Below are 16,114 nucleotides of genomic sequence, written 5' to 3' on the forward strand. Positions count from 1 at the left end.
ACTTTTATTATTTTAAAATATCCTTTTTTATTTCAGTAACAATGTTTATCTTAAAGTATATTTTGCCCAATATTAGTGTATCCATTCTAGCTCTCTTTTGCTTACTGTTTGTTTTTTAATTCTTTTACTTTCAATCCATTTGTTTCTGACTCTAACAAGTATGCCTCTTGTAAATAGCATGTAGTTGTTTTACAGTTTTTAAAATCTATTCTGTCAATCTCTGCCTTTTAATTGGCATGCTTAAACCACTTACATTTAATGTAATTGCTGATAAGGTATAATGTACATTTGTCATCTTGCTATTTGGTTTCCATATGTTTTATTTTCTTTTTGTTCCTATATTCTGCCATTAACTGGCTTCTTTTGTATTAAATAGATATTTTCTATTATACCATTTAAAAGTTCTTGTCATTTCCTTTTCTATGTAATTTTTACTTATTTTGTTGACATGGGGATTACAGTTAACATTCTTAACTCATAACAATCTAATTCAGATTGATGCCAACTTAAGTTGAATTGGATATAAAAACTTTTCTCCTAGTTCTGTTCCTGAATCCTGCTTTCATGCAGTTATTGTCATACAAATTACATCTTTGTACTTTATTTGCCCATCAACAAAGAGTTATAATAATTGCTCTTTACAGTTGTTTTCTTAATCAGATAGAAGGACAAAAAATATACATTTGTACTCCATTCTTATATTTATCTATGTAGCTACCTTTATTGATGCTTTTGATTTTTTTTCATGTGGATTTATGCTACTGTTTAGTATTCTTTGATTTTAGCTTGAAGGACTCATTTTAGCATTTCTAGTAGGGCCAGCCTGCTAGTGATAACTTCTCTGTTTTTTATTTTCTGTGAATGTCTTAATTTCTTCATTTTTGAAAGATAGCACTGCTTAGTATAGTATTATTGGTTGACATTCACAACCAAGAATATATAATTGTTAAATATGTTAAATTTTTATATGTATTATTATTAAATTGTTTTACATATGTTAACTTGTTACTATATTAAGTATTCTTGGTTTGAATGTCAACCAAGAAAACTATATTAAGTTTTCAGGTATTGGTTTTTAGGCTTTTTTTTTCTTTTGTTGCAGCACTTTGTGTTTGTCATTCCACTGCCTCTTCAGGCAGCCATGAAGTTAAACAATTGCCCACAATTGTTTAGACAAATGCCCTCAGGGGAAAAGCTGTTTGCACTTGGGGAGCAATGAATTAGGTGAAATAGACAGCAAATGAGGTCTCCCAGGGAACCACTAACCAGGTCAAATGATAATTCTCTGGAATGAGGTTCAAAGGAACTCTAGCCCTGTTCTTTGTCCTCTGGTGACTGCCAAGTGCTAGTTTTCAACATGAGCTTGTGCTGTTAAATTTTCAAGGCTACTGTGGAGCTGAAGAGTAAATTATGGGACAAATTAAAAACACCACAAAGCTCACTCTTCTTACCGAGATTCAGCTGTTTTTCTTGAATAAATGCTCCCAGATTGCTGCAAGTCTTTTGTTAATATCCTGATTTCTGGGAAAGTTGATTTTGGCAATCCAATTTTTGCCAGTTTTCTCATTAATTTTATGGATTAGAGAATTTTTGGAGATTTTTACTCTGCCATTTTCACTGACATTACTTGCTGTATGCTTTTTTTTTTTTTTCAGGGTCTCACTCTGACACCCAGGCTAGAGGTGCAGTGGTGCAATCACAGCTCACTGCAGCTTCAATTTCCAGGGCTCAGGTAATTCTCCCACCTCAGCCTCCTGAGTAGCTGGGACTACAGGCACCTACCACCAGAGTCCAGCTAATTTTTTTTAATTTTTGTAGAGACAGAGTTTTGCCATGTTGCCCAGGCTGGTCTCAAGCTGCTCGGCTCAAGCATTCTACCTGTCTTGGCCTCCCAAAGTGCTGGGATTACAGGTGTGAGCCACTGCACACAGCCCACTTTGTGCTTTTGAACTCATTTTCTCTTCCTGGATCACCCTTCCATTCCTAAACTCCTGCACGAATTCTTTCCACATTTCAATTATTTGTCTGTGTCTTTCTCAACATTAAAATGAACCCTTTCTATTTTATGAGTTTGCAACTCTTCAGTGTGATGCCAAGTTTAATGTAAAGAAAGGTGTTATCAATGTTCTATAGCTTAACTTAAATGCACACACCTATCTTGGGAGACTTCACTTAAGGCTTTAAAGGAGAAAATGCAAACTCCACTTACCAAAAGAATAAAACTAAGTTATTGATAAACCTCTACATAATAAACAGATATGTCAATGATATATTCTTCTGCCTACCATACCTAGGAGTCTTTCTGGGTGTGGTTGGGCCTTAGACAATTCAGGGTTACAAACTATGTGAAGAAGAATCACTGTGTGCCCAGCTTGGGGATAAAAACTACTATAAATCCCTAGTAATTTCAGCTATGGCTGTGTAATCTCAGCCTGAAATATTTAGAGAAGACGTTTGGTTGAGAAGACTTCTAGAAGTGGTTAATCAAAAGTAGTTATGGTGAGCTGTACTGGGCAACCAAGCTAAGGTACAAAGAGCTGCAGATGTGGTTGACTTATATGCCATGTCTTTCATTTCCTTTTTGATATAGCCTTTAAATGACTTATTTGCTGCACAGTGTTATTCAATGTTACTTTTTAATCTTAAATCATTTTTATCTCTTTTAATGATTGAGGCAAAGTTAAACAGCTGGAAGCTGAGGATGTGTATAATCTTGCTCTTAATTGGATGTTACAGAAGAAACCAGAATCTGAGTAGTCCTTGGTGCCAAAAGCCTAGAAGCCTCCTGTGCTAATGACTGGCTACTCAGTGTTGTAATATGGCAAGAATTCACCAAGTGATAAGATTATTTGAAATAAAGCCACATGATCTAGGGATAAATGCCTGCTCTTTACTCCTGGTTGGTAGTGTCCTGGCTGCTTATGACTGATAGGGTTTCTCATGGTGATAGGGGAGAATGAATTGGGAGGTGGCTGTGATAGGCATTGCATTACGGAATAAGATAATTTAACCTACATATTATCTAGTAGGACTTTGTTAATAGCCTTTCTTTGAATAGGGCTTGAAATGTCAAGTTGCCCCTTCTGATACTAGAGTACAAAAATGAAGACAGTAAAAGTATCCTACAGTTCTGCAAATCAAACTTATCTCTATTTTTGTGCCATTTTCTGATGACCCCAAGGAGGCTTGGGTACTGGGGCAGAAACTTGGTAGTGAGAAATATTGTAATGTTTTTATGATACGTTTAGAAAATAAAGCCAAATGTAAAACAGCTATTTCAATTGGTGCCCGTCATTTGGCACTTTGTTTCATGAGTTATTTTTATGAAACGTTTAACAATACAGACTAATTGCTGTTTAGGTATCAAACATCATTCATTTCTATTCTTTCCTATCATTGTTATTGTTGTGTCTGGATAGGTTGAACTTGACCACTTTTATTGATGGAGCTCCTGCCCAAAAGGCCAAATTTTATTTTCTCAACATTGATTGTAGATTATAAACTCCCATAAACCTATGGTAAAAAGCCATGTTCTCTTGGTATTTGGTTTCCTCAATCATGTTTCAAGAACAAATATTGTGGTTTCTGAATAGTGAAACCAAAATGTGGGATCTGAGTGTTCCTTTTGGTGATAGTGACTCCAACATTCACTATGAGAGGTTTTATTATTCTCCGAGGAAGGACGGGGTATTATCTCCAAGGTAAATTTTGTGAGCTTTTTTAGCTTCCCAAGGTCCTGAGGGAAAGCTTAGAAGAAATCTTTTGATTCTAATTTGGATGCCTGAATCAGGAACTTTACGTTATCATGACTGATCACCAGGAGACTGATTTGAAGAGTACCTGCCAGGTCTTCTAAAGAAAAATAATAAAGGAGGAATTGAAGTGGTGGTGGTAATAGTTAGCTTCCTATGATACTAGGATTGAGACTCCTGAGTAAAGAGGGAAGATAAATCTGTCCCCAGCTTCTGGTGGGCATGGGAAGTGTAGCAGAAACATGTCCTTAAAAAGCAAAAAACTCACCTTTCAGAAAATACCAGCTGAAAGGTTGTTGTCCCTGCCTGAGGTAATTGATTGGTGGGTGGTAAGGAGTGCAACAAAGGGTGGTACCATTAAACGGTCTTTGTCTAGCTCTGGGAAACCCAAGTGAATTCTTCAACAGAGGTATAGTAGTCTGTGTGGGCTGCCATAACAAAATACCATAGCCTGAATAACTTAAACAACAGAAGTTCATTTTCTTACAGCTCTGGATGCTAGAAATCCAAAATCAGGGTAATTTCAGGCTTGGTTTCTCCTGAGACCTCTTTTTTTGGCTTTAAGATGGCTGCCTTCTTGCTGTGTCCTCATGTGACCTTTCCTCTGTGTACATGTGTGTCTGTCTTCCTCTTATAAGGACACCAGTTTTATTGGACTGGGGCTCTTATGACCTCATTGAACCTTAATTACCTCTTTAAAGGCCTTGTCACCAAATACAGTCCCATTCTGAGGTACTGGAGGTTAGGACTTCAACATATGAATTTGTGGGGACGTAGTTCAGTTGATAACAAGAAGAGACAGTAAACTTCACTACTGGGAGGAGAAAGCAGGGAGCACACAACAAAGGAGCTGTGATTGACATGGGAGCTAATGACCACTGAAGTATAGTCATGAGATCTCAAGTGTAGGCAAAAGAACTGAAACCGGGCAGGTAGGTTAGGACCTTTATCCCAGTTTAGCTTGCTCCTGATGCAGCAGGAGAAGGGGACAGCAATAATGAGCACATGATATAAGGAGAAAAGCTAATGGAAATGAGAAACCCGTCAACGTGTCCAATTAGCCAGAGATCTGTGGAGCGCTCAGGAAAGTATTGAGAGGTGTAAGACGTGGACACAGACATCAGAGAGCACACAGCACAATGAGAGAACATGTGAAAAGTTATTAAATGCAGAGAAACGATCCAAATAATTACCGATGTTTTGTTGAGCCCTCTTTGTGCTCAGCAGTGGGCCAGGCATGGAAGTGCGCTGGTGAGCCCACCAGACCTGGCTCCTGGCCTCTGTGGCCTCCACTCTAGGGATGGGAACGGACCTTTGTCTAACAGCCACACAGATTATTTCAAATGGTGACAAGTGCTCTGAATGCAAAGGACAGTGTGACAGAGTTGAGTGTGTCAGAGAGAATGAATTCTGATCCCTCTCAGAGGAATTCTGAGGGACTGACATGTAGGTTGAGGCCTCACAAATAAGGAATAGTCAGTCAGGCAAGAATTGAAGGCACTCTGTTCCAGCAGACAGGGTTACATGTGCTAAAGCATTAAGTGAAAACTAGCTTTTAAATAAAAGATGAGAAAGCTTTTCTGATTATATAAATGAGACATACTTATAGAAAATGTTTTTTTACACAAGAAAGCATTTTAAAATTACCCAAAATTCTATTTTCTTGAGATAACTACTATGAGAATATATGTTGTTTTATGTGGCAATTAGCTTTAAGCCTTCTTTCCAGTTTCTTCCCATCCTTCCTGCCTCCTCCCTGTCTCCTACTCATAAGCCAATTGTGCCTCATTTCTTACTAATATTAACCATGTGTGTATATTTCCATACTTTTCTGTTATTATATATAATATAAAATATATTTATAAATATATAACATTTATATATAAATATTTGTCTTACATGTAATAATTTATAAATATAGAAAATTATTTTTATAAACATTCAGATATATTAAATGTATAAATATATAATATATACATAAAATATATAATATGTATATAAACTATATATACATTATATAGTATATATTGTATATAAACTATATATACATTATATAGTATATATTGTATATAAACTATATATACATTATATAGTATATATTGTATATATATAGATATAGATAGATACATGCACAGATGAGTTTTTAAATATGTCATTGTTTTTAAATATGTGATTATATTATGTACCTTCTTGAGATCTTTGACAGTTTGCTTTGGACATTCTTCCAAGTTAACTGCCACATATCTAACTCAATGACTTCTGTCCTAACTGACCCTTAAACACTGATTTAATTGGTTTGGGGTGGGGCCTAAGCACCTGTGGTTTTCAGAAGCTCCCCAGATGATTCTATGTGTAGCCAAAGTTGAGAACCACTAATCCAAATCATTCTTTTAAATAGTTGCACCAATTCCCCTACATCCTTACCAGCAGCAAAATTTTCTACTCTTGAATATTTGTCCGTCAGATAGGTGAGAAGTGATATTACTTCTTTAATTTGCATTTCCCATACCATAAGGGAATATAAGCTGAACATTTTTCCTATTTTATTGGTCATTTTGAGGGGTGTGTTTGTGTGTGTGTGTGTTTGTTTGTGTGTGTGTGTGAGAGAGATTCTCCTTTTTTTCTTTTCTTTTTTTAATCTTTGATGTTTCTTTTTTAATAGGCCTAGCAGGAAAGTCTCATAAATATGCAGTCACTGTTCGTGACATTGACTAGTCCTTGTTTTCTCGTCATCCCCTACAATGTCAAATATACACATAAGCAGTCCAAATCTGCTAATCTCCCTTGTTAACAGCTTGTAATTTGGTACAGGTTTAATGCTAGTAAGTCATTGATTGAAGGTAGATACTCATCTCTCTTAGCAATCCCTAGGTTGGTCTATATATATATATATATATATATTTTATTATACTTTAAGTTCTGGGTTACATGTGCAGAACGTGCAGGTTTGTTACATAGGTATACACGTGTCATGGTGGTTTGCTGCACCCAACAACCTGTCACCTACATTAGGTATTTCTGCTAATGCTATCCCTCCCTTAGTCCCCCACCCCCTGCAGGCCCTGGTGTGTGAGGTTCCCCTCCCTGTGTCCATGTGTTCTCATTGTTCAACTCCTACTTATGAGTGAGAACATGTGGTGTTTGGTTTTCTGATCCTGTAATAGCTTGATGAAGCTGGAGATTCTCCTCTTATGATCTTTTGCCTATATTTTCTATGGGAGATTTACCCTTTTTTTCTCATTTGTGAGAACTCTTTATTGCCACATATAGTGACCCTTTTTATTTATTTACATTATGAATATTTTATCCCAAAATATTATTTATCTTTTCACTTATGTGTTATCTCTTGTTCACATAATTAGTTGTAATGTTTATATTTTCAAACATATCTATCTTTTCATGCATAGCTTCTGGATTTCTTGATTAAGAAGTTCATCCTAATCCCTAGATTATACATAAATTATCTTACAATTTATTTCAAGATTTAAAATTTTCAAATGTATTTTACATTAAAACTATAGTGTGAGGTAGATTTTAACTAACTTTGCTTCAAGATGGACAGCCAGTTTTTATAGCACTATCCTTTCTAGCTTGATGCTTTTGGAGAAATAATTTTTTAAAAAAGGTCAATAGGGCTAAAACTTTAGAGGTGTGGGGAAGATAATAGTGGGAGTTGAGAGTTGAAAGGCAGGCAGAAATCAAGTCATGAAGGGTGACGGGAGCATAGAAAAGGACTTCAGAACTTAACAGAGTAATTCCATTTAAGAGGTTTTCAGCAGGAGAATAACATGATCCAATATAAATTTTAAGACCACTCTGATTCCAGTGTGAAAATGCTGCATAGACAGAAGTGAAGAAGTGGAGGGATACATAGAAGGCATTGCAATAGTCCAGAAAAGATATGATGATGGCGTTGCTTTCGAGACACAATGGCAGTGGTGGTCAGGAGGAATAGATAGACTTAAGAGCTATTTTAGAGGCGGACAGGATTGAATGGAAGATCGAACGTGGGAGGCCTGAGAAGGACCCAAAGATGACTTTAATTTGGGGATAATGATGGTTTCTTGATCTTCATAAAACTGGAGGTAAAAGCAGACTTAGGGGAAAGAGCAAGAGTTTAGTACAAAAGAGATGAAAAGAATCATAAAGGAACATTGTGGAAAAGTCTATTGCAGTAAATTCGAAAGTTTATGGGAAATGGATGATTTCTGAGTCAAATATAAACTGACAACATTGATCCTAGAAGAGATATAAAACTTAAACATATCATTAGCCATGAGGATGTTCCAAAATAGTTGAGAGTTTTGATTTAAAAAAAAAAAAGGCCAAAATGCTTTAGCAGCTGAGTTGCATCTAACCTGTAAAGAAAAGACATTTCTTAAGTTATTTACGCTATTCTGGATGATTGAAAAGCATAGAGTAATGGCAGCATTGTTTGTTTCCAGGCAGAAACCCAGAGGCAAAGAGCATGCTGATCAGAAGCAGAGTTAAGTTATGGCACATTCATACTATAGACTATTATATACCTATTTAAAGAATGAATTCTATCTATAGCTGTAGACATGGCTGGCTGAAGGGGTGGGAATTTCCATGCTATATTTTTAGGACGTGAGAACAGAGAGAGTATATATATAATATTATCCTATTTTTGTAAAACGAAACAACAAAAAGGAAACCTAAATGGAATGTGGTGGTGCTGAATTTTGAATTTTCAACTTATATTTTTATATCTTTGAGTAGCTTTTTTTTTTTTTTTTAAACAGAGTCTCACTCTGTTGCCCAGGCTGGAGTGCAGTGGTTCCATCTCACTGCAACCTCTGCCTCCCAGGTTCAAGTGATTCTCTTGTGTCAGCCTCCCAAGTAGCTGGGATTACAGGTGCCTGCAACCACACCCGGATAATTTTTGTATTTTTTAGTAGAGACAGGGTTTCGCCATGTTGGCCAGGCTGGTCTTGAACTCCTGATCTCAGCTGATCTGCCCGCCTCAGCCTCCCAAAGTTCTGGGATTACAGGCATGAGCCACAGTACTTGTTACTATGAGAGTTTTTTAATGATAAGAATAAAAAGCAATCCGTGAGGCTTTAGCCATGTTGATTTTGAGAAATCTTCAAGATAGTTAAATAGAAATGCTGAGTGGTGAAGATGCTGTAAGGTCTGATGTTTGGAAAAGAGGTGTGGACTAGAGTCATCCAAAGGAGTCACACACCCAGGGCATTTGAAGTCGTGGGAGTGGATGGCACCACGAAGTGGGATGTGTAGGTGAGTGAAGTTAAACTCAGGACCAAACCAGGAACTCCAGCAGAGAAATGTTCAGTGGAGGAGGAAGAGCCAATGAAAGAGAAAGAGATGGAGCAACCAGATATGCCACGGGGAAATCAGTGTTTCTGGGACAATAGATGTTAAGTGGTCCAGGGCTAAAATGAACCTCACCTTGCTAGAAGTGGTCTCCATAGATGTCTCAGAAGGCTGTAAGAGAAATAAACACCCTCGGCCTTCATTTCCTTTCCACCACTAGAGAAAATTAGCACTTTTCATAGCTTGTTTTTAAGACAGCATGAGGGCAGTTATTTATATGTACTATTAGCTCTTAGGCTTAAACATCATCAACTGGGAATGGAAGAAACTGGAGCCAATCTATGGAGAAGCCAATGCCTATGGACAAGACTTTGAGAAGAGAATTTTCTAGCAGAGACATCATTGAGGAACTGAATGGAGCAATTTGTTAGAGAGGCCTGTGTTTATTATAGACAGTACCCAGCATCCTTTACAGCAGTGATTCCTGTTAAAATGCAAGGAGAATATACATGTCTCTTAGACACTTGTCTTACTTTTCTCCCCTCGTTTCCCACTGCCATTAGCCTAATTCAGTGCCTAATCTGCTCACCTCTAAACCAGTCCCCTCCCTGTGGTTCCTTAGGGTCTCAACCTAATGTTATGCAGGTTGCATACAGCACAAGGATGTCTGAGTGATGGGCAAGTGGGGCTGAAATCTAACATATTCTCCCGGCCAACCCATGGGTGCTTATGTAGGCCTGTTGCTTCCTGGATAATTTTTCTCACAGGGGCGTGGCAAGCTCATGGAGCCTTGACCCTGCATGGCTAGGTTCACTCAGAGGGGTTGCTTTCACTATTGGCACAGTGATGTTGAAGTGGCTAGTAGCAGCCCTGAGTCCCATGGCAACAATGAACTAGACACAGTCTCTGCCCTCAAGATTGACAGGTTAGTAGAGATGGATAATTTCAGAGACAACTATCTTCAAAGCAAATACTTTAAAGAACGATTGCTATCATATCAATCTTCTTTCAAAATGCTCCAAAGGCTCTCTATTGCCTTCCTTAGGCTGGAATTCAGAACTTTGTGTAATCTCTCCAAGCTAATCTGGCATCCTCTACTTTGACCCCTGTCCCTGAGCAAGCCTCTATGCCTTTGCCCAGCTGTTATTTCTGGCTTAGGACACCCCTCCCACCCACCTCTCTGGGCAGTCACCTCCCCAGTGTGCACTCAGCCTTCCCGCCCATGCCTCCCTGAAGCAATTATGGCTTGGGCCAGTTGGGACTCGACCCATCATTACAAGGCTGAGGACACCCAATCTTTATGCTTTGGCCTTGACTCTCTAATTTTACCTAAAGTAGGAACCTACGGAATCAATAGTATCATTGCATTTTCGGCACCCACCACAGGACTTGTACCAAGCAGGATTGAAATGAATTTGGTGTCTAGTCTGAAGATTCTATAAACATTTTCCAATGTACTTTCAAATATTTCTGTTAAATGCTTGCCCTTGAAATTGTGTAGCTACCTTGAAAAGATAGATGTGTAATGTAAAATGATTTATGAGTGTTCTATTACTGCCTCTGACCTACATATATTTTTCTTTTTTATTTATATATTTTCTTCCTCAGCATGATACATCCTAATAAAGAAAGCCAACACAGAAATACATGCTTTACAATCATGCTAATAACACTTTTCTGCTTTCAGACATCAATGCATTGAGACTGGGTCTGTTTTCTAATTATGCAGACGAATGTTGACAAAACTGAAAAGCAAATAAAAAGCATCAAGAAACGAGTTCATTTTATTTTATTTTTAATGGCATTTGTAGCATTTATACCTTTTTCTGGTTGTAAATAGCATATGCTCATTGTAGAACATGTATCGAAACAAATTCACACACACATAGCCATAATTATTCCACCATCCAAAGATAACAATTATTGATTTCTTTGTGTTCCTCTCTGTATAAAGGTTTTTCCTCTAAAACCTTTTATAGTTTTATGTTATTCATTTAGATCTATGGGCTATTTTGAGTTAATCTTTATTAACTTCATATAATTCTGAGGTGTGAACTCTATATTAAGGTTTATTTCTTTTCCTGTGGATGACCAATTGTTCCAACACCACCAGCTGGAAAGGATAAGTTGCCTCCACTGAACTGTGTTTACACGTTGTCAAAGATCAAATGGCTGTATTTGTATGAGTCTATTATTGTACTTCCTCTTTTGTTTCATTGATCTCTGGGTCTATATCTTTGCTATGGGTCTTTTTAAATTAAAACACAGACATATTTGTCATGTGTCATGAGCAATAGAGGCCAGGAGGAGAAAACGGTCCCATATGTGCCCAAGAATGGGCAACAATTACTTCCTCCAACCAGCTAGTCCCTGCCACCTCCTGACTCAGACAACACAGAAACTGAGGTGAACAGCTCAATAAAGTTACCACTTAGATCCATGGCATAACACATTAATAAAACCAAATGTCTGCTTTTTTTTTTTTTTCTTTGAGAAGGAATCTCACTCTGTTACCCAGGCTGGAATGCAGTTGCACCATCTCGGCTCATTGTAACCTCTGCCTCCTGGGTTCAAGCAATTCTGCCTGCCTCAGCCTCCCGAGCAGCTGGGATTACAGGTGCCCCCAACCATGCCCAGCTAATTTTGTGTTTTCAGTAGAGACGGGATTTCACCATGTTGGCCAGGCTGGTGTTGAACTCCTGATCTCAGATGATCTGCCTGCCTTGGCCTCCCGAAGTGCCGGGATTACAGGCATGAACCACTGTACTCGGCTTTGTCTTCTTTCTTAAATGCCTTTCTCACTGTCAGTGTTTTTCTGGTGGTGTCAACTGAAAAATATGCCAGCCTCACACAGCTCAGGGCAGAGGAAAAGGAGTTTCACATAGACTTAAGGAAAAGTTTCAGATAAAAATACAACTCTTTTTTTTTTTTAAACCAGGAAGGAAAATGTGAAAATGGAAACACCTTTTACTATTTGATTTGAAAATAAAGTGTCATCCAAGCCATAGCAGAAGCTTCATTATTTTGACAACTGGTCTCTGTTAAAAATAAGTTTCCAGGTTGCCCTCCAGCTTGCACCATTTGAATGAGGAAGATCCAGAACGACATTCTAGTGCGTAAAAATATAGATAGGTGGACATGCAGAGAGATGGAAACAGATATAGTCTCCCCCCAGCCCAAACCGACAAACCGAGATTTTTTTTCTTTTTTTTTTTTTAGACAGGGTGTCGCTCTGTCACCCAGGCTGGAGTGCAGTGGCACAATCTCAGCTCACTGCAACCTCCACCTCCCGGGTTCAAGCGATTCTCCTGCCTCAGCCTCCTGAGTAGCTGGGATTACAGGCACCCACCACCATGCCCAGCTAATTTTTGTATTTTTATTAGAAATGGGGTTTCATCATGTTGGTCAGGCTGGCCTCAAACTCCTGACCTCGTGATCAACCCACCTTGGCCTCCCAAAGTGCTGGGATTAAGGCATGAGCCACTGCACCCGGCCCAAACCAGGATCTTCTATGATGTACGATTTTTTAACTAGAACAGGTCATCTTTGCTGCATAGAGAGCTGGCGTTGACAGCACTGGTTATTTCTCATTCTTTCTTGTTGACCACAGGCTCTACAGTGGTAGAGTTGTTGGTGTTAAATAAACTTTTATTTTCTTCCTTCAGTCTAATATTGGGGAACTAGTCCTTTCTATATGTATTGTGATAATAATTGCAGCTAAGAAATAATGTACTTTTAATTGAAATGGCCAGATGGAGCCATGACTTTTTCAAAGACATGGGTTTTTGGCTTCTAAGTTCTACACGGCATGTTCTAATTATTGGGCAGTTTTTCAACATTCCTGACACCTTTCGGCTGTGAATAGTGGCTTCCTTCAAGTACACAACATCTTATCCTGTTGTTTTGCACTTTCTGAGTTGAAATCAGCCTTTCCAAGGAAAATTTCCTTATTCCTTTTCTACTTTTGTTGTGTTCCTAAATGAACTAATGGGAGCTTACTCATTATTTAACTTTACTTTTCTCACTTTATCTTATGCCTGCAGATGGGAGATAGAATGGGATTACATTGTAGAATAAGAAAAGGGGCCACCGTCATTTAGTCATTAATTCATGCATGCATTCATTCATTTATTAAGCAGCTACTATATGTCAAATACTGTTTCCAACAAGGTAAATCTTTTCCTTTAAGGAGCTTTTGGTACCACAGGAGCTAGATACAAGCAAAGTAACAAAATGCAGTATGATAAGAGCTAAAGTAGGAGTTTAGCACTGGGTGGCCTAGAAGCATCGTGTAGAGTCCCCCACCCAGTCTTGAGAATCAGAGAAGGCCCTGGAGCAGGTAGCAGCTAAGACAAATCTTGGAGAACAAATAGAAGCCCAGTGAAGGGGTGGAAGGTAAGGGGAGAGTCCAAGCAGTGAGCATTGTCGGTGCAAGGGTCCAGAGAAGATGGTGAGGGAGGGGGTCTTGCAGGGAACTGTAACTATTTTAGTATTGCAGGAGTGCAGAGTGCAGGGGTGAATCTTGTGTGTAGTACAGTGTTGCTTAAAAAAGATAAATTAAATAAACAAATAACCCAAACAAGTTAGAATATCCCAGATAGGATATATACTCTTGCATCCACCGCAGACCCCTATCGCTTTCCATTGTTCTACTCTATCCTGATTTATTTTATTAACCACCTGGCCTATGTAGGCATTTGTGTTTGGGATTCCCTACCTCTGAACCCAGACCAAAGATCAAATTCAAACTATCTCAGTTACCATGTCAGGTGTGAAAGGAAAGAAGACCAGCTTTTTGATGGAACTGTGAAGACCAACCCAGTGAACAATCCTACCCACCAGGTAAGACCAGGAGAATTACTCACATACATTAAAAGAAGGATCTTTCATATGGAACCAACCTAATTGTCCATCGATCAATGAGTGGATGAAGAAAATGTGGTACATATACACCATGGAATACTACTCAGCCATAAAAATAATAAAATTATGTCTTTTGCAGCAATTTAGATGGAGCTGGAGGCCACTATTTTAAGTGAAGTTACTCAGGAATGGAAAAACCAAATACCTTATCTTCTCACTTATAGCTGGGAGCTAAGCTATGGGTATGCAAAGGCATACAAAGTGGTATAATGGACTTTGGAGACTCAGAAGGGGGACGTGGGAGGGGACTAAGGAATAAAAAACTACATATTGGGTACAATGTACACTATGTGGGTGATGAATGCACCAAAATCTCAGACTTTAGTACTATACAATTCATCCACATAACCAGAAACCACTTGTACGTAAAAAGCTATTGAAATAAAAATTTAAAAACAAAAAACCAAACAAGCCTTAAAAAATAGATCTTTTTCCTCAGGGAGTGAAATGGAGTATAAACACAAATATTTATTGAGGTCTTATCATGTGCCAAGTACTATGCTAAATTTTTTTTTATATCAGGCCTTTCTATAAAAGAAGATAGCAATTTAAGCAGTCACAGATGCATGTATATAATTAAATTTATAATTTGTAAGGTGATTTTACACATCTTAAAATATATTTTATTTACTAGAATGTCACTTTATAATGTGACATTCTAATAAATAATGTCATTTTGCATAATGTTTAATGCAAACAAATAAGCATTCAGTAATGTTTATTGAGGGCCAGTTGTGCGTTAGGTACTGAGGCTTCTCTGGAGATACAGAACAGACTGGCCCCTGCCTCGGGTTGTTCACTACTGTGGACTTCAGCACATCACAGACGATTATCTCTGCCTGGTATTCTGCATTGTCAGATTCAGTCTGAGTCATCTTGGGATTACAGGAAATCTTTTAAAAAGTCAGAGTTTGTTCCTGGCTAATATGGTGAAATCCCGTCTCTACTGAAAATACAAAAAAATTGGCAAGGCGTGGTGGCGGGCGCCTGTAGTCCTAGCTACTGGCGAGGCTGAGGCAGGAGAATGGCATGAACCTGGGAGGCGGAGCTTGCAGTGAGCCGAGATTGCGCCACTGCACTCCAGCCTGGGCGACAGAGCGAGACTCCGTCTCAAAAAAAAAAAAAAAGTCAGAGTTTGTAATCCTGCAAACTTTAACAAATTTGTATATTTAAGGTTGATTTTGATCAAGCTAACCTTCCTCCTTCTTGGAATTAAAATCTCAGACACTAAGTAAATCAGTAACAAACACTTCTGCTGGTAAACCAGGGCTAGCATTATCTCCCCGGGACTTCTCAGATTGGCAGCGTAGGGTTTTGCATGCCTTGTTAACCTGACTTGTAATAAGTTCTTAGTCTTCACAATGGAAACTGAGCCAAAGCAGGTTTACATTTCCGTACTTGCATTTGGTGTGAGTCATGAGAAAGGAGAATATTTATTTTCTGAGGAAGGAAGAGAACCTGAGCTAACTTTGAATTTCCTCAGTGGCCTAGCATACAAGTGCCTTAGGCTTACTGTAATTCAATCCTTTTGCGAATCCTATATCCAATTACCCAGATATCTACATCTAAAAAAAGCTTGTCTTCATCAAACTGTCAGACAGGAGCTGTCAGAGAGTCTATTTGTGGGACTGCCCTGTATTTCAGAGCATTTGCCCATAAGGAGCTAAATCATGGAGTAGGGAATTGGGTTGTGCCCCCACAACACACCTATTCCCTGGATATGACATCCTGGTAAAATCGGACTGTGTAGCTTCCCTGAGCACATGATTATTTCTTCGTTTCCTGATTGCTCAGTTGGCCCTGTTGGTTGCTTTCCCTGCTCACAGCCGGCAATTGTCGCTGGATCGTAGGGCAAGAGAATATTCCAGTTATAACATTTTGATCAGCTGCGGTACTGGAGCAATCAAGATAGGGCAGCCACAGGTGCAAAAATAATGAAAGTTTGTGCATCTGATGACAGGTGTCTGGGGTAACCCTCGAACATTAGGAAAGACCCCACCGGAGGAAAGGGACTCACAAGTTAATGATTACAGTGAAAGCAGAAGTAACAACAAAAATGAGCACATGAGAGAAACAGTGGGACTTTCGTAATGTTGAAAATGAGGTGGAGAGAGAATTCTAAATTGCAAGTTCAGAGAAAGAGG

At 38.5% G+C, this 16,114-nt stretch overlaps 1 annotated feature.

Annotated features, from left to right (window-relative positions):
* Positions 9,836–9,895: a silencer, noted in NCBI's record as "silent region_1226". NCBI's record gives its function as "represses an Ori minimal core promoter by ATAC-STARR-seq in GM12878 lymphoblastoid cells {active_cell/tissue: GM12878}" and the evidence as "EXISTENCE:reporter gene assay evidence [ECO:0000049][PMID:35858748]".

Source organism: Homo sapiens, chromosome 1 (assembly GCF_000001405.40).
Source record: "Homo sapiens chromosome 1, GRCh38.p14 Primary Assembly".
Classification (NCBI taxonomy): Eukaryota; Metazoa; Chordata; class Mammalia; order Primates; family Hominidae; genus Homo; species Homo sapiens.